Source organism: Homo sapiens, chromosome 19 (assembly GCF_000001405.40).
Source record: "Homo sapiens chromosome 19, GRCh38.p14 Primary Assembly".
Classification (NCBI taxonomy): Eukaryota; Metazoa; Chordata; class Mammalia; order Primates; family Hominidae; genus Homo; species Homo sapiens.
Window position 1 is genome coordinate 4,426,418 of NC_000019.10, and position 17,876 is coordinate 4,444,293.

The 17,876-nt window shown below is 54.1% G+C and overlaps 1 protein-coding gene across 9 annotated transcripts in view, besides 4 other annotated features; it reads left to right on the plus strand.

Moving 5' to 3' along the window:
• The window catches only part of CHAF1A (chromatin assembly factor 1 subunit A), a 48,191-nt gene that overhangs the window by 23,778 nt on the left and 6,537 nt on the right, over positions 1-17,876 (plus strand). For 5 of the 9 annotated variants that reach the window (NM_005483.3, XM_011527607.3, XM_047438011.1 and 2 more), the window contains 8 exons: positions 2,247-2,473; positions 3,021-3,189; positions 3,291-3,371; positions 4,132-4,224; positions 5,535-5,790; positions 6,653-7,122; positions 15,828-15,924; positions 16,508-16,980. In NM_005483.3, coding sequence (NP_005474.2) covers positions 2,247-2,473; positions 3,021-3,189; positions 3,291-3,371; positions 4,132-4,224; positions 5,535-5,790; positions 6,653-7,122; positions 15,828-15,924; positions 16,508-16,608 — 1,494 coding nt within the window. In that variant the 3' untranslated portion in view covers positions 16,609-16,980. Of the gene's footprint in view, positions 1-2,246; positions 2,474-3,020; positions 3,190-3,290; positions 3,372-4,131; positions 4,225-5,534; positions 5,791-6,652; positions 7,123-15,827; positions 15,925-16,507; positions 16,981-17,876 lie in introns of those variants that run through there. The other 4 variants (XR_007066505.1, XR_936135.3, XR_007066507.1 and 1 more) reach the window with 1 other exon arrangement.
• Positions 4,313-5,076: an enhancer, noted in NCBI's record as "H3K27ac hESC enhancer chr19:4430727-4431490 (GRCh37/hg19 assembly coordinates)". NCBI's record gives its function as "activates a minimal SCP1, AML or CMV promoter by ChIP-STARR-seq in naive H9 embryonic stem cells {active_cell/tissue: H9 hESC(naive)}" and the evidence as "EXISTENCE:reporter gene assay evidence [ECO:0000049][PMID:30033119]".
• Positions 10,262-10,762: an enhancer, noted in NCBI's record as "H3K4me1 hESC enhancer chr19:4436676-4437176 (GRCh37/hg19 assembly coordinates)". NCBI's record gives its function as "activates a minimal SCP1, AML or CMV promoter by ChIP-STARR-seq in primed H9 embryonic stem cells {active_cell/tissue: H9 hESC(primed)}" and the evidence as "EXISTENCE:reporter gene assay evidence [ECO:0000049][PMID:30033119]".
• Positions 10,763-11,263: an enhancer, noted in NCBI's record as "H3K4me1 hESC enhancer chr19:4437177-4437677 (GRCh37/hg19 assembly coordinates)". NCBI's record gives its function as "activates a minimal SCP1, AML or CMV promoter by ChIP-STARR-seq in primed H9 embryonic stem cells {active_cell/tissue: H9 hESC(primed)}" and the evidence as "EXISTENCE:reporter gene assay evidence [ECO:0000049][PMID:30033119]".
• Positions 17,555-17,849: a silencer, noted in NCBI's record as "tiled region #9621; K562 Repressive non-DNase unmatched - State 14:Gen5'". NCBI's record gives its function as "represses a minimal TATA promoter and a strong SV40 promoter by Sharpr-MPRA in K562 cells {active_cell/tissue: K562}" and the evidence as "EXISTENCE:reporter gene assay evidence [ECO:0000049][PMID:27701403]".

Here is a 17,876-nt window from a genome sequence, read left to right on the forward strand (position 1 = left end):
TCGGCCTCCCAAAGGGCTGGGATTACAGGTGTGAGCCACCGTGCCCGGCCTTTGTTGTTTTTTGTTTGTTTGTTTTGAGACAAAGTTTCGCTCATTGCCCAGGCTGGAGTGCAGTGGCATGATCTCAGCTCACCACAACCTCTGCCTCCTGCGTTCAAATGATTCTCTTGCCTCAGCCTCCCGAGTAGCTGAGATTACAGGCATGTGCTGCCACGCCCAGCTAATTTTGTATTTTTAGTAGAGACGGGGTTTTTCCATGTTGGTCAGGCTTGTCTTGAACTACTGACCTCAGGTGATCCGCCTACCTCGGCCTCCCAAAGTGCTGGGATTACAGGTGTGAGCCACCACGCCCAGCTACAGTGTCTTTCATTATACTGAAATTTCTCCTTTTGGCCAGGTGCGGTGGCTTATGCCTGTAATCTCAGCATTTGGGGAGGCCAAGGCGGGTGAATCATCTGAGGTCAGGAGCTTGAGACCAGCCTGGCCAACAAGGTGTCTCTACTAAAAATACTAAAAATACAAAAATTAGCCGGGCGTGGTGGTAGGCGTCTGTAATCCCAGCTGCTCATGAGGCTGAGGCAGGAGAATCGCCCAACCCAGGAGGCAGAGGTTGCAGTGAGCCGAGATTGCACCACTGTACTCCAGGCTGCGCAATGAAGCGAGACTCCATCTCAGAAAAAAAAAAGAGGAGTTGTGATCTTTCAAAAAAAGACCCTGTCTTTTTTTTTTTTTTTTTTTTTTTTTTTTTTTGAGAAGGAGTCTTGCTCTGTTGCCCAGGCTAGAGTACAGTGGCGTGATCTGGGCTCACTGCAACCTCTGCCTCCCAGATCCAAACGATTCTCCTGCCTCAGCCTCCTGAGTAGCTGGGACTACAGGTGCCCACCACCATGCCAAGCTAATTTTTGTTTTGTTTTGTTTTGTTTTGTTTTTGAGATGGAGTCTTGCTCTATCCCCCAGGTTGGAGTGGTGCAGTGGCACGATCTCGGCTCACTGCAACCTCTGCCTCCCAGGTTCAAGCAATTCTCCTGCCTCAGGCCCAGGCTAGAGTACAGTGGCGTGATCTGGGCTCACTGCAACCTCTGCCTCCCAGATCCAAACGATTCTCCCGCCTCAGCCTCCTGAGTAGCTGGGACTACAGGTGCCCACCACCATGCCAAGCTAATTTTTGTTTTGTTTTGTTTTGTTTTTGAGATGGAGTCTTGCTCTATCCCCCAGGCTGGAGTGCAGTGGCACGATCTCAGCTCACTGCAACCTCTGCCTCCCAGGTTCAAGCAATTCTCCTGCCTCAGGCTCCCAAGTAGCTGGGACTACAGGTGCATGCCACCGTGCCCGGCTAATTTTTTGTATTTTAGTAGAGACCGGGTTTCACTGTGTTGCCCAGGCTGGTCTCGAACTCCTGAGCTCAGACAATCCACCCGCCTCGGCCTCCCAAAGCGCTACAATTACAGGCGTGAGCCACCGCGCCTGGCCTAATTTTTGTATTTTTAGTAGAGACGGGGTTTCACCATCTTGGCCAGGCTGGTCTCGAACTCCTGACCTCAGGTGATCCGCCCTCCTCAGCCTCCCAAAGTGGTGGGATTACAGGCATGAGCCACTGCCCCTGGCCTAATTTTTGTTTTTAGTAGAGATGGGGTTTCACCATGTTGGGCAGGCTGGTCTCGAACTCCTGACCTCAGGTGATCCGCCTTCCTCCGCCTCCCAAAATGGTGGGATTACAGGCATGAGCCACTGCCCCTGGCCTAATTTTTGTTTTTAGTAGAGATGGGGTTTCACCATGTTGGGCAGGCTGGTCTCGAACTCCTGACCTCAGGTGATCCGCCCTCCTCAGCCTCCCAAAGTGGTGGGATTACAGGCATGAGCCACTGCCCCCGGCCTTTTTTTTTTTTTTTTTTAAGTGAGGTTTGTTGAGATATAATTTACATCCAATAAAATAAACTCTTTTCAGGACATTTGTGTTGACAAATGACAGGGCCAGCTAACCATAATGAAGATAAACCCTATTTCCATCACTCAAAACAGCTCCCTTGTAGTCTGTCCCCCCACCGCCGGCCCTTGAGACTGCCAATCTGCCCTCTGCCCTGTAGCTCTGGAAACTCGGCTCTGTGGACCCACACAGTGCCTGGGCTTTTGAGTCTGTGCCTTGGCCTTAGCCTGGATGAATCCCACCAGCACCCTGCTGTGTGCGTCCATGGTGCCTCCTTTCTCCCATTGCTCGAAGACCCCATCGGGTCTCTTCTTGATTTCAGACCCTGGCCGGCTCCTGTGGGAAGTTTGCCCCCTTTGAAATTAAAGAGCACATGGTCCTGGCCCCTCGGCGTCGGACCGCTTTCCATCCAGACCTCTGCAGTCAGCTGGACCAGCTCCTCCAGCAGCAGAGCGGCGAGTTCTCCTTCTTGAAAGACCTCAAAGGCCGGCAGCCCCTGAGGTCCGGACCCACGCACGTTTCCACCCGGAATGCAGATATTTTTAACAGGTCAGAGCCTGAGGAGGTCGGCCTTCACCCACTAGTGATGCTGGAGGCCAGCATCCTGAACCCTGGGGTCCCCGGGGTGGGAGCTCTGGGTCCTTCTGTTGCTTGCTTCCTAGTGCCCTCGGGCCCTGGGCTTCGGTGCTGGCTCAGGCCTCTCTCCACCTGGCCTTCCTGTAAGCTCCTGAAGTCTTCCTCTCCCTGTCTTCCCAGCTCCTCGTGGAGGAATCTTATTTCCCTGCTGGTCTCCAGTGAAGGATACCCCCCAACACCTCGCTCTTGCAAATCTCATTCCACAGAACCTCCCTTGCTAAAAATGCTCTGGGGCTGCACCTGGGCAGCTGTCCTCCCTCTCACCCTGCAGGCTGCACCCTCCTCCATCTGTCCCTTCAGTCCATGTTCCTGACCTTTCTTTGGGGACAGGCAGTGCTGCTTTTTAACAAATGCCCATCTTTCTAGAATTGTTAGGCCAGCTTCACAGGGAGGTTCCTGGGAGGTTTGTGAGCAGGTCTGTAAGGCAGCGTGATCCTGAGCCTGGGGTTTTCCTTCTCAGTGATGTCGTCATCGTGGAGCGTGGGAAGGGCGACGGTGTTCCCGAGAGGAGGAAGTTTGGCAGGATGAAGCTCCTGCAGTTCTGTGAGAACCACCGGCCTGCCTACTGGGGTACCTGGAATAAGAAGACGGCACTCATCCGCGCGCGAGACCCCTGGGCCCAGGACACGGTGAGCTAGCCCCAGAGTGCCTCCGTCCCCGTACCTCCTCACTGTGCCCCTTTCCTCCAGCCCCAAAGACAGTTGTGAGTCCCATGTGTTTCTTTTCTCAGAAGCTCCTGGACTATGAGGTGGACAGTGATGAGGAGTGGGAAGAAGAGGAGCCTGGGGAGTCCCTGTCCCACAGTGAGGGGGTAAGGATGTGCCCCAGCTGTCTTCACTCACAGACGGCTTGTGTTTGAGTCTCTGTCCCACAGTGAGGGGCTAAGGATGCAGCCCAGCTGTGTTCACTCACTGACAGCTGGTGTTTGACCTGCTGTGTGGTCTGAAACCTGAACGCACCTCAACATCCAGACTTCCAGCTTCTCTCGAAAAATCTCATCTGGTGACACTCGCCCACGTGGCTGCTGGGGATGGGATCCCGTCCGCATCTGCACCGTGGCCCCACAGCCCCCTCTTGCCTCCTGCGGGCCTGCTGCACACCATTTCCTCCTGACTGCCCAGCTGCTGTGACCTAGTGGGCTTTCTGCCGATGCTCACCGTGTCTGTCGGGAGGCCATGCAAAGCAGATGTTCACAGCTTTACATTTTTTTGTTTCTTTAAGATGGAGTCTCACTCTATCACTCAGGCTGGAGTGCAGTGGCGCGATTTCGGCTCACTGCAACCTCTGCCTCCCAGGCTCAAGTGATAGTCCTGCCCCAGCCTCCCTAGTAGCTGGGATTATAGGTGCGTGCCACCATGCCCAGCCAAGATTTGTATTTTTAGTAGAGACAGAGTTTTACCATGTTGGCCAGGCTGGTCTCAAACTCCTGACTTCAGATGATCCGCCCACCTCAGCCTCCCAAAGTGCTGGGATTAGAGGTGTGAGCCACTGCGCCTGGCCTACTTTGTTTTTAATAAGGCACACACTCTGCTTTTCTATCTGATGAACTCTTTTTTTTTTCTCCTTTTGAGGATGATGATGACGACATGGGAGAGGATGAAGATGAGGACGATGGTTTCTTTGTGCCCCATGGGTACCTGTCTGAGGACGAAGGTGTGACAGAGGTGAGGGAGTGAAGGGGGAGGTCACCGGCTCAGCAAAAGTTCATTTCTGGACTGGTGCTCAGTGGCCTGACCTGGGAGGGTGACGGGGGTCCCAGCCCAACCATACGAGATTTGGACTGCATTCCAAGCACGCAAGCTCACTCGTGGGAACAGCTGGGCCTGAACTTGGTATTACCTGGGAGGGTGGCAGACGTAGGAGGAGCTTGCAAGCGAGGGGAGCCATAGGAGCAGACACCCTGGTGAGGGAGCGTGGCCATGGTCTGTGGGTTAGAAGGCTGGAAACCACCCGAGCTGACATACAGTCAGCATGCAGCAAGACATGTGCATTGTAAGTGTTGAGTTTGATGACGTAACAATCAAGTGAATGTGGGCAACCACCGCCCGAAATAAAACAGAACTTCCCTATCTCTCCAGAAGATTGCCCACGTCTCTGCAGGCGAACCTGCCTGCCACCCCTTTCCAGATTCCATAAGGTTGTGGAACTGTCTTTTTTTTTTTTTTTCTTGAGACGGATTCTCATTCTGTTACCCAGGCTGGAGTGCAATGGCCCGGTGTTGGCTCACTGCAACCTCTGCCTCCCGGGTTCAAGCAATTCTCCTGCCTCGGCCTCCCAAGTAGCTGGGACTACAGGCGTGTGCCACCACACCTGGCTAATTTTTGTATTTTTAGTAGAGACGGGAGTTCATTATGTTGGCCAGGCTGGTCTTGAACTCCTGACCTCCAGTGATCCACCCGCCTCGGCCTCCCAGAGTGCTGGGATTACAGGCATGAGCCACCGAGCCCGGCAGGAACTTGCTTTCAAGCAAGTTGTTTTTGGTCCTGTTTTGTTTTGAAGGCCTGTCGTTTGGGAAGTGGGGATTTGGTGGGACTGTCTCATGGTTGGACTGGAGGCCTAGGCATTCCTTGTGCATATCTGACCACCGAGGCCTGAACTGTCAGTCAGAGAGTGGTCTCAGGCCCTGCATGTGTCTGCCAGATGCCTGGGCCATGTGGGTAGACACCCAACCCTGTTAAACGGCTCCACGATCACACATTCACCAGAAAATTCAGAGGGGTGTTAAAAGAGGCCTCATGGGTGAGTTCAGAAATATCTGTGACGCTCCCAAAGGAGACCAGGTGTGAATTATTCCATCTGGAAGAGGGGCAGCCAGCGCATGGTGTGCTCTGCCCTGGCCCTGACACTGTGGGAAGTTTTGTGCCCCTGTCCTTTCCTCTTGCTCCCCAGCTGGCTGGGGACTGGTTCCTCAAAAGAGTGCCCGGGCATAGGGGAGCAAGAACCCCAAATAAACTTCTGCTTTCTAAACCACAAGGAGTGTGCCGACCCTGAGAACCATAAGGTCCGCCAGAAACTGAAGGCCAAGGAGTGGGACGAGTTCCTGGCTAAGGGGAAGCGCTTTCGCGTCCTGCAACCTGTGAAGATCGGCTGCGTGTGGGCGGCTGACAGAGACTGCGCAGGCGATGACCTGAAGGTACTGCAGCAGTTCGCAGCCTGCTTCCTGGAGACCCTGCCGGCCCAGGAGGAGCAGACGCCCAAGGCCTCCAAGCGGGAGAGGAGAGACGAGCAGAGTGAGTGTGGGCGGGGCCAGGCCACCCACCTGTTCCTGGGCCCAGCTAATTCCAGGGCTGAGGGCAAGAGTCACAGGCTAGTGGGTCCGTGATGCAAATGTTCTTTCCACAAATAACAGAGGCCAGCCCTTTTCCTGTACATGTCCGTACGTTCAATGATGTCCCTAGCAGCAGGACGAGGCAGGTCCCTTAATTGGCTTGTTTTATCAACCAGGACACAGGCACAGAGAGTGCTGGAGTGGGGGCTGTGCTTTCTCAAAAGCCAGGGAGGGGCCGGGCACAGTGCCTCATGCCTGTGATGCCAGCACTTTGGGAGGCCAAGGTGGGAGGATCGCTTGAGCCTAGTGCTTCGACACCAGCCTGGGCAACATGGCAAAACCCCATCTCTGCAGAAAATGCAAAATTACCTGGGTGTGGTATCACGCACCTGTGATCCCAGCTACTCAAGAGGCTGAGGTGGGAGGATTGCTTGAGCCTAGGAGTTTCAGACCACAGTGAGCCATGATCCTGCCACTGCACTCCAGCCTGGGTGACAGAGCAAGACCCTGTCTAAAAAAAAAAAAAAACTCAAAAAACTGGGGAGGGACCATGGCACACAAGGAGAGCAGGGCAGTCATTTGGGTAGGAACAGCAGGCATTTGAAGTCAGCCCTGGCAACACACGTGCCCGGCCAAGGCTCACTTCTGGGCAGGTGCGTAGGTGCTACCCTGTCTTACACCCGCCCTCATGAGGCCACCTATCCCCGAAGCTGGCCATGCCCCAAGCCTCGGTGGCAATGAGCTTGTGTATGTGTTTTGTTTTTTGGCCTGTGGTGATGGGTGGCTCCCCAAGCCTCATGCCCACCCATGTTCCCTCCTGCCAGTCCTGGCCCAGCTGCTGCCGCTCCTGCACGGCAATGTGAACGGGAGCAAGGTCATCATCCGGGAGTTCCAGGAGCACTGCCGCCGGGGACTGCTCAGCAACCACACCGGCAGCCCGCGGAGCCCCTCCACCACCTACCTGCACACCCCCACCCCCAGCGAGGATGCCGCCATCCCCTCTAAGTCCCGGCTCAAGCGGCTCATTTCCGAGAACTCAGTGTATGAGAAGCGGCCTGACTTCAGGATGTGCTGGTACGTGCACCCGCAGGTGCTACAGAGCTTCCAGCAGGAGCACCTGCCCGTGCCGTGCCAGTGGAGCTATGTGACATCGGTGCCCTCGGCCCCCAAAGAGGACAGTGGCAGCGTCCCCTCCACGGGGCCCAGCCAGGGCACTCCCATCTCGCTGAAGAGGAAGTCAGCGGGCAGCATGTGCATCACCCAATTCATGAAGAAGCGCAGGCACGACGGCCAGGTGAGGTGGGGTGGGCAGGTGGGGGCCTCTGCAGGGCTTTTCTTTTTTTGTTTGTTTTTTGTTGTTTTGTTTTTTTTTCGAGATGGAGTCCTGCTCTGTCACCCAGGCTGGAGTGCAGTGGCGCAATCTCAGCTCACTGCAACCTCCTCCCTCCTGGGTTCAAGTGATTCTCCTGCCTTAGCCTCCTGAGTAGCTGGGATTACAGGTGTACGCCACCATGCCTGGCTAATTTTTGTATTTTTAGTAGAGACGGGGTTTCACCATGTTGGTCAGGCTGGTCTCGAACTCCTGACCTCATGATCCGTCTGCCTTGTCCTCCCAAAGTGCTGGGATTACAGGCGTGAGCCACCTCGCCTGGTGTTTTTGTGTTTTTTAAATAACCTTACTCTTAGAGCAGTTTTAGGGTCACAGCAAAATCGATTGGAAGGTACAGAAAGTTCCCATACACCTCCTTCCCCAAAGCCAAGCCAAGCCACCCAACATCACCTCCCAGAATGGTGCATTGGTTACAATCAGTGCACCTCAGGCCAGGCACTGTGGCTCACGCCTGTAGTCTCAGCACTTTGGGAGGCTGAGGCGGGAGGATCACTTGAGCCCGGGAGTTGGAGACCAGCCTGGGCAACATGGCAAAACCCCATCTCTAAGAAAAAATTTTTAGATTAGCCAAGCGGTGGCATGCACCTGTAGTCTCAGCTACTCAGGAGGCTAAGGCGGGAGGATTACTGGAGCCTAGGAGATTGAGGCTGCAGTGAGCTATGATCATGCCACTGCACTGCAACCTGGGCGACAGAGCAAGACCCTGTCTCTAAAAATAAATACATAAAACGCACCTTCGTTGATTTATCACCACCACTAGGGTTTGTTGCTGGTGTTGAGGGTTCTGTGATTTGAATGAATGTTGGATGCTGTGCGTCTACCTTTATTGTTTTAAACAAAGAGGCTTCTCCCCACTGAAAGGCCCCTGTGCTCTGCCCGTCCAATCCCTTGGAAATCACCAACCTCTCTATCTCCGTGGATCAGCCTTTTCCAGATTGCCCTGTAGCTGGAATCGCATCGTGTGTGGCTCCTTTGACTTGGCAGTATGCGTTGACAGTTCCTCCGTGTCTGTTTGTGGCTTGATAGCTCTTTTTTTTTTCACACTGAATAATATTCCATGTGGTAGCATTTTTATTTTTGTTCAACGGTTCTTGAATTTTGCATTCAAGCACAGTTATTAAGCACTTACTGTGCTCCAGGCACTCTGATCGGTCTCTCAGACACAGGTATATGCAGAACACCGCCCGGTGTAAGGCACAGACAGGAGCCTGTAAGGGGAATGAATGGCTGTGTGATTCCAGCCTTATGGGTGCCTCGGAGGCACAAGCGCATGGAGCCCTGGGGTGTGTGATGGGGGCACTGTCTGGTCTTAAGAAACTCTCATGCCCAGAGAGCCACTGGCCCCTGGCACCCACCCCTGGCCATAGATCGGCTTTGTTAACGTTCATTGCATACTTTTTGTCCTTACCACACAGTGTTCGGAAGTGAGTTTCTCTTTTTTCTTTTTTTTCCTTTTTTTTTTTTTTTTTTTTTTTGAGACAGTCTCGCGCTGTTGCCCGGGCTGGAGTGCAGTGGTGTGATCTGGGCTCACTGCAAGCTCCGCCTCCCGGGTTCACACCATTCTTCTGGCTCAGCCTCCCGAGTAGCTGGGACTACAGGTGCCCGCCACCACGCCCGGCTAATTTTTTGTATTTTTAGTAGAGACGGGGTTTTACCGTGGTCTCAATCTCCTGACCTCGTGATCCGCCCGCCTTAGCCTTCCAAAGTGCTGTGATTACAGGCATGAGCCACCACGCCTGTCCTGGCCTTTTTTTGAGTCAGGGGTCTTACTCTGTTGCCTAGTCTGTAGTGCAGTGGCGTGATCACCACTCACTGCAGCCTTGACCTCCCCAGGCTCAGGCGATCCTCCCACCTTAGCCTCCTCAGTAGCTGAGAGGGACTACAGGTGCATGCCACCACACCCAGCTAATTTTCTGTAGAAACAGGGTTTCACCATGTTGCCCAGGCTGGTCCCCAACTCCTGGGCTTAAGCAATCCCCCTGCCTTTGCCTCCCAAAGTACTGGGATTATAGGTATGAGCCACCGTGCCTGGCTCCCTGAGTTTGATTTCTAATATCTACACTTAACGCAGACCTATCTGTCCCTGTGAACCTTGGGCTTTCCTTCAAGGCCACGATCTGATGGAGTTACAGGTTTTCAGAGACTTGGGACAAGGAGCAAGACAGTGGATAACCCCCGGCCCCAGCTTGCATCCTCTTCTCTGATGTTAAAGGTGGTCGTTGGCTGGGCACAGTGGCTCACGCCTATAATCCCATCACTTTGGGAGGCCAAGGCGGGCAGATCACCTGAAGTCAGGAGTTCGAGACCATCCTGGCCAACATGGTGAAACCCTGTCTCTACTAAAAATACAAAAATTAGCTGGGCATGGTGGCAGGTGCCTGTAATCTCAGCTACTCGGGAGGTTGAGGCAGGAGAATCGCTTGAACCCAGGAGGTGGAGGTTGCAGTGAGCCGAGACCACACCATTGTACTCGAGCCTGGGCAACACAGCAAGATTCTAGTCCCCCAAAAAAAAAAGAAAAGAAAAGGTGGTCGTTAGGGGCAGGGAGGCGAGAGAAATGGCTCCTGAGATGATGCTCAGCCATCTCCCTGCTGCCAGCACACAGCCATGGGCCTTAATATGCTGTGAATCTCCCTCAGCTGTCACAGCAGGAGGGGCCATCATAACATCCCAAAGGGTCCAGGGCTACGACTGAAACTGTTCCTGGCACTCCCTAGAGCCTCTGTCCCTGTACAGTGTGTCATGTGCATAGTTCCCCTGGCTCTGTGGAGGCGGCTTGGCGCCGTGGGAAGCTCAGTGCATTGGAGCTGGGGCCACAGGAGGCCCCCACACAGAGCTTTGCTGGATGCATTCTTTGTTCAAGCCCTGTGTGAGCAGTGCCTTTCCCTGGTCACCTGAGCAGCCTTAGAGGGAACCGGAGCTCCCCAGCCTGAAAATGATCGGGGCGGGAAGGTACTATCTGGTTGTGTCACTATGCAAGCAGTTTTCCAGGGCCTTTGCTGATCAGCCCTCCCCTGGGAACCCCTGTGTCCCTCAGATGTTCCTTTGGGGTCTCCTCATGCTCCACACAGTAGTCCAGGCCCTGGACGGCCTCCTTCCCCACCCCTCTCCACTGATTTGATGCAGCAGCTGCCTCTCCCAGCTGGGGTGCAGTGCCCCGCCCCTGGTCCTCCCAAACACTGCTCTTGCTCCCTGTCAACATGTGGAACCCATGTTTCCCCACCCGGAAAATAGCGCCCTGAGCCCCATGTGCCCAGCACCACATCAGAGTTACTGTGCTTCGGGGGCAGTGAGTGCCTGTTTATCATCCCTAACCACAAGGAAAGAAGGGTGCACCCAGTTTAACTAGAGTGGGTCAGAGAGGTTGGGTGGGCCTTGGAGTTAGCAAAACACAGCATCTCACCTGCTAATGGATGGCAGTGGTGGCCACATGCGCGTGATTGGTGGCCTCTGCTGCGTGGCACAGGTGAGGGCCTCCTGGGGCTCAGCAGTGCAGCGGACGCACGAAGGTCACACGTGAAGGAATGGAGACCCAGGCCCAGCTTGATGCTTAACCCCCACCCCTGAACCTCCTGCAGTTTGGGACATAAACGTCCCTGGGGAGCAGGGTCTGGTCCTGTGTTTTTTTTCAGAGCTTGTGTGGGGAGGGGCACACAGGTGGGACCCAAAGGTGGGGCTGTGGAAGCACATGAGCCCGGATGGGACATGTGCCCTGGCATCCTCTGTTTTTTTTTGACAGGGTCTCACTCTGTTACCTAGGCCGGAGTGCAATGGTGCAGTCACAGCTCACCGCAGCCTCCACTCCTGGGCGCAAGTGATCCTCCTGCCTCAGCTTCCTAAGGAGCTGGGAGTATAGAGGCACGTGCCACCATGCCCAACTAATTTTCAAATATTCTGTAGAGACAGGGTCTATGTTGCCCAGGCTGGTCTCCAACTCCTGAGCTCTAGCGATCCTCTCTCCAGCCTCCTGGCATTTAATAAAGCTGCTGACTGATGCTTCTGCACCCAAGGGGAGGGATAAGCCATTCATCTGCAAGTGGTGTACATCCATATTTTTTACTCGGTTACACTTTTTTTCCCAATTTGAAAGTTTTCATCTTTTTTATTTTATTTTATTTTATTTTGACGGAGTCTCGCTCTGTCGCCCAGGCTGGAGTGCAGTGGTGCGATCTCAGCTCACTGCAAGCTCCACCTCCTGGGTTCACGCCATTCTCCTGCCTCAGCCTCCCAAGTAGGTGGGACTACAGGCGCCCACCACCACGCCCAGCTAATTTTTTGTATTTTTTTAGTAGAGACGGGGTTTCACTGTGTTAGCCAGGATGGTCCCGATCTCCTGACCTTGTGATCTGCCCGCCTCGGCCTCCCAAAGTGCTAGGATTACAGGCGTGAGACACCACGCCCGGCATCTTTTCTTGTTGTTAAATTAGAAACAGGGTCTTGCCCTGTTGCCCTTTATTATTTTAGGTTCAGGGGTACATGTGCAGGTTGGCAAACTCATGTCACGGGGGTTTGGTGTATAGATGATTTATTGGGTACTAAGGTATTTTTTCTGAATTTCTCCCTCCCACCGTCACATAGGCTCCAGTGTCTGTTGTTCCCCTCTTTGTGTCCACATGTTCTTATAAGTGAGAGCATGTGATATTTGGTTTTCTGTGCCTGCGTTAGTTTGCTGAGGATAATGGTTCCCAGCTTCATCCATGTTCATGCAAGAAGAGGTTTTTTTGTTTTGTTTTGTTTTGTTTTGTAGATATTGGGTCCTGCTGTGTTGCCCAGGCTGGTCTTTGAACTTGTGGGCTCAAGCAATCCACCTGCCTCGGCCTCCCAAAGTACTGGGATTACAGACCTGAGCCAGGGAGTCTTTAAATCTTTTTACTTAGAGCTCAAAAGAGATATTCTTAAGGCATTCTGACCTAGTGGGGTGAAGTGCCATGTATCTGTGAAGCCCTAGGACACCTCAACTCTTCGGGCCTCCGTTTTATTTAAAAATTTTAAAATACAAGGAAGGATGTGTTTGCCCTTGCCAACAAAACATTATGTGATCAAAATAAAACTAAAGAAGCATAGATGGCCGGGTGTGGTGGCTCATGCCTGTAATCCCAGCACTTTGGGAGGCCGAGGTGGGTGGCTCACAAGGTCAGGAGATTGAGACCATCCTGGCTAACATGGTGAAACCCGTCTCTACTAAAAATACAAAAAATTAGCCAGGCGTGGTGGCGGCTGCCTGTAGTCCCAGCTACTCGGGAGGCTGAGGCAGGAGAATGGCATGAACCTGGGAGGCGGAGCTTGCGGTGAGCCGAGATCGCGCCACTGCACTCCAGCCTGGGCAACAGAGCGGGATTCTGTCTCAAAAAAAAAGCATAGATGGCTGGGTGCAGTGGCTCACGCTTGTAATCACAAAACTTTAGGAGACCGAGGCAGGCGGATCACTTGAGAGGCCAGGAGTTCAAGACCAGCCTGGCCGACATGGTGAAACCCCATCTCTAAAAATGCAAAAATTAGCTGAGCATGGTGGTGCACGCCTGTAATCCCAGCTACTCAGGAAGCCGAGGCAGGAGAATCACTTGAACTCAGGAGGTGGAGGTTGCAGTTGAGCCGAGATTGTGCCACTGCACTCCAGCCTGGGCAACAGAGCAAGTCTGCGTCTCAGAAAAAAAAAAAAAAGACAAAAAGGCACAAATGTTAGTGACACCATCTTCATCCCATGTAGTCGTTAAACGTTTTCCTGACTCCTGTTTTCCGTAGTCTGCGCTCCTCCGTGTCTGTGTTTAGCACTTGCAGTGCTGCTGGCGAGATGACAGCTGTCCCCGTGAAGCAAGCTGCCGGCAGCTCAGCACAGTGGGACTCGGTGTTATGTGTTAAATCCTGTCTTCAGCCTAGAGGGTGAAGAGTGGTGATTGCTCTGAAAAATTTTGGATCCAAGAAAAGCCTAATGTGTCAACGCGTCTCCTGTGTGGAGGGAGGGCCCAGTGACTTGAGGTGGCTCTGAAGAAATTGGCATGTTCTTTTGTTTAACGTCCCCAGACACCTCCAGATCAGAATGTCCCTCCTCAGCAGCGTCTACAGGGGACTCTTAGACTCTTCTTTGCTTAACTATTCTTTCAAAAAGGTAGTTGAAAATGGCCGTAGGCCAGGCTCAGTGGCTCATGCCTGTAATCCCAGCACTTTGGGAGGCTGAGGCAGGAGGATCACTTGAGACCAGGAGTTGAAGGGTGCAGTTACCTGTGATTGCACCACTGCACCACAGCCTGGGTGACAGAGCAAGATGTTTCTCCTGTGTCCTCACAGGGTCAACCCATGCTGCCTGGGGAGAGGGACAGCCTGGGCTCCCAGCCACTGAAGAGAGGATCCAGGAGGGGAGCCCCTACCCAGGAATTGATGAGGCTACGGTAGGAACCCAGTCTGCCTGGCCAGGCACTGTGCTCTTACATGACAGCCCATGAAACCAGTCTATGGCCTGACCGTTGTGTTGCTGTGCGGTCACTTTTCTAGGTTTTTGTAGAGGAAGAATTCCTGGAATTTTTTGAGGACTATCCTCCCTACTGAAATAAGTGTGGCTGTCTGTCCTGGGATGGGCTTGTGTTCATGCACAGAGAGGGTAAGCACTGACGTGGAGGCTCATGGTGGCCTCTACGCATCCTGTCTTTCTCCTTTGGTGAAAGCAAATGGAAACAGCTCAGGAATCTTACTAGGGTCAGGTGCGGTGGCTCACACCTTGTCATCCCAGCACTTTAGGAGGCCGAGGTGGAAGGATGGCTTGAGCCCAGGTTGAGACCAGCCTGGGCAACATAGTGACACCCCCTTGTCTCTACTTAAAAAAAAAAAAATTAGCTGGGCGTGATGGCGGGTGCCTGTAGTCCCATCTTCTCAGGAGGCTGAGGCAGGAGAATGGTGTGAACCCAGGAAGTGGAATTTGCAGTGAGTCGAGGTCTAAAAAAATAATAATAATAATTCACAAGTCACAGTCATCACTTCACATCAGGGACGTGTTCTGAGAGGTGTCCTCAGGCAATTTCATGGTTGGGTGGGGCTAGGTTGCTCTTACACATCCTAGATGGACAGCCTGCCACACGCCTGGGCCGTGTGGTACATAGCCCAGGGCTCCTGAGCTGTGGACCTGTGCAGCAGGTGACTGACTGCTCCATCCTGCAGGCACTTGTAACCCAGTGGTATATGTGTCTTTAACATAGAAAAGGCACAGCAGAGGCCAGGTGCGGTGGCTCATGCCTGTAATCCCAGCACTTTGGGAGGCTGACGTGGGCGAATCCTGAGGTCAGGAGTTCGAGACCAGCCTGGCCAACATGGCGAAACCCCCGTCTGTACTAAAAATACAAAAGATTAGCTGGGCGTAGTGGCGGGCACCTGTTAAAAAAAAAAAAAAAGGCACAGCAAAAATATCGTTGCGGCTGGGGCAGTGGCTCACGCCTGTAATCCCAGCACTTTGGGAGGCCAAGGCAGGCGGATCACTTCAGGTCAAGAGTTCGAGACCAGCCTGGCAACATGGTGAAACCCCATCTCTACTAAAAATACAAAAATTAGCCGGGTGTGGTGGCAGGTGGCTGTAATCCCAGCTACTCAGGAGGCCGAGGCAGGAGAATCACTTGAACCTGGGAGTCAGAAGTTGCAGTGAGCCAAGATCGCACCACTGCACTCCAGCCTGGATATATGGCAAGACTCTGTCTCAAGATTTATATATATTAAATAAAAATACAGTTGTCTGTAATCCCAGGACTTTGGGAGGCTGAGGTGGGTAGATCATAAGGTCAGGAGTTTGAGACCAGCTTGACCAACATGGTGAAACCCCGTCTCTACTAAAAATACAAAAATTAGCTGGGCGTGATGGCATACACCTGTAATCCCAGCTACTCAGGAGGCTGAAGAACGAGAATCGCTTGAACCCGGGTGGCGGAGGTTGCAGTGAGCTGAGATTGTGCCACTGCACTCCAGCCTCAGTGACAGAGTGAAACTCCCGTCTCAAAAATAAAAAATAAAGGCCAGGCATGGTGGCTCACACCTGTAATCCCAGCACTTTGGGAGGCTGAGGCGGGCGGATCACGAGGTCAGGAGATCAAGACCATCCGGATAACACGATGAAACCCCGTCTCTACTAAAAATACAAACTGGGCGTGGTGTCAGGCGCCTGTAGTCCCAGCTACTCAGGAGGCTGAGGCAGGAGAATGGCGTGAATCCGGGAGGCGGAGCTTGCAGTGAGTCGAGATCGCGCCACTGCACTCCAGCCTGGGCAACAGAGCGAGACTCCGTCTCAAAAAAAAATAAAAATAAATAAATACAGTTGTAATCTGATGGGGCCACTATCAGGTATGCGGCCTGTCACTGACTGGAAATTATTCTGCAGTTGGCAATGATGGCTGTTTTTGGAGATCTGAATCCAGTTCATTTGAGGGAACCCCCAAGGTTCTCTGGTTGTGGCCTCTTGAATAAACCTCTCACATTTGGACAGTTTGTTACCAAATTGGGTTCTGGATGTTGGTTTCCTTCCGTGTTGGGGGTGGGAGGAAGGTGTCACACCTGTGGAGTTCCCCCCGCTACCGCACTGGCACCAGGGTGGCTGCTGCCTGCAGTGCTGATGGCCGTGTACCCTGTCTGTCCAGATTGGTGCTGAAGACATGGACGGCTTCCAGGCAGACACGGAGGAGGAGGAAGAGGAGGAGGGCGACTGTATGATCGTGGATGTCCCGGATGCTGCGGGTGAGAAGGGCTGTAGATAGCAGAACGCACTGGTGAGGTGGGCGCTGGAGGTAAACCTCAACAGAGAAGGGATGGGGCTGCCTAAGACTAGCTCCACTGTGAGCAGCCAGGAGGGCTTGCAGCTGGAAGTGGCTCCTGCCCTGCCACATCCTCGGGCGGGCTGGGCCGTGGGTGCTGACCATGCCAGGCATCGTTCTGGCCGCAGAGCCACAAGGGCCTATGCTGGGAGTCTCAGGTGGTTGTGACGTTAGATGGGGGTCAGGGAAGGCTGCACTGAGGCAGCAAGGGAGGGCCAGGTGGATTTCTGGAGCACTCGCCAAAGAGGAAGTACAGAGGCCCTGCAGCAGGCTGCGTGGGAGGAGTGTGCCCGGGTGGTGGGGGGCAGGCAGGGTCAACCTGAGAGCAGGTGAGCAGGTCACCTCTAGAAGAGGCACAACGCCCCAGCCTCTGCCTGTCCCCACTGTCAGGTGGAGGGTCCCGCCCTGGGGTTGTTGCAGGCCCCATGAGGCAGCAGGGTGGGGTCTTCCCCCAGGGAGCCCAGAGGGCCCAGCCAGCTCAAGACCCTCCCTCTCTTGCCCTGCAGAGGTCCAAGCCCCGTGTGGAGCCGCTTCCGGAGCTGGGGGTGGTGTGGGGGTGGACACCGGCAAGGCCACCCTGACCGCGAGCCCACTGGGTGCATCCTGAGAGCAGGGGTGACGTATGTAGAATGCTTAGGGTGTCCTCCCCACAGAGCAGATACTTGAACCGACTCAATTCCTGTGTAAAGAGCACTTTGTCCTGCTTCACGGACCTCCCCAAAGTGTGCAGAGTTCTATATAGGATGCTGGATTAGTTCCTTTGATATTTGTAAAAATTCCCCCAAGAGCCGCATATGAATCTGCCCTTTAATAAAGCATTATTGAGATTGCTGGCCTATTGGGGAAGCCTGCGGGCACAGGAGCAGGCGTGGAATCCAATACTTGTAAATGAATTGAAGCGTCAGGACCACCCGCCTGGCCACGTGCGCGGGCCCCTGGACCTAACGAGGCAGTGTATAAACTTATTCTCTAGCCCTGAGCTGCTCTGTCTGTCTTTTCCGAAAACATTGTGTTTCTCTGAGAGTGCACCTTGCCCATGGCCCGGCCCCATGTGGTGCCTGGTGTCTGGGGCCAGCCTTGTGCCCTGCAACAGCACCGTCCCATCTGTTTGTCACTAAGTCACCCTCATACCAGGCTGACCTGGGTCAAGGTGCGGGTTTTTCCGCACGTGCTTCTGTCCGGCGATCCCTCCTGCCCTGGGTTGGGGGGTTAGGAGAGGGTGTTCCCAGAGACCTGCTAGGGTCACCTCCCTGAACCCGGAGCTGCTGGGAGCCGAGTTTGGCTTCGAGTCTGAGGCTTTGTGAGAGCCCACCCCAGGTCAGGTGCATCTTTTGCGAGTGCTGGAGCTAGAAGGTGACCTCCTCCCCGCCCCAGGTTGAGTGGGCTTTATCCACACTGTCCGAGGGAGGACAGGCGACAGCCGCTGTGGTACTGAGCAGCTCAGAGCACACGCAGCCACGGGGAGGGTCACGCTCGCCAGTCCTGCTCTTCCCAGCCACACCCCACCTGAAGTCCTAAGCTTCCCTTCAGGGAACCCTATGTGGGAAAAGTGTCAGCTACCTCCATCCACCCAGTCAGGGACGGCAGGGCGCCCGGGCCAGGCCTTCCTGCTGGGAAGCAGGATTCAGCTGTGCCTGAAGCAGAGGCTGCCCCTGTGCCACACCTTTGATGAGCTTTACAGGGGCTCCCGACAACCCGGAATCAGGTCCTGGGGCCTGCAGGACGCAGGACTGGAGTGACAGCCTCCATTCTCAACAGGCCGGGTGCCCACACCAGCTGGGGCAGTGCCGGGGGCGAGGGAGGGACCAATGCAAGGTCAGGGGCACGAGCATAGGCCCCGGGCACCTCCCCCAGGTGCAGACCTGCATCCCCAAG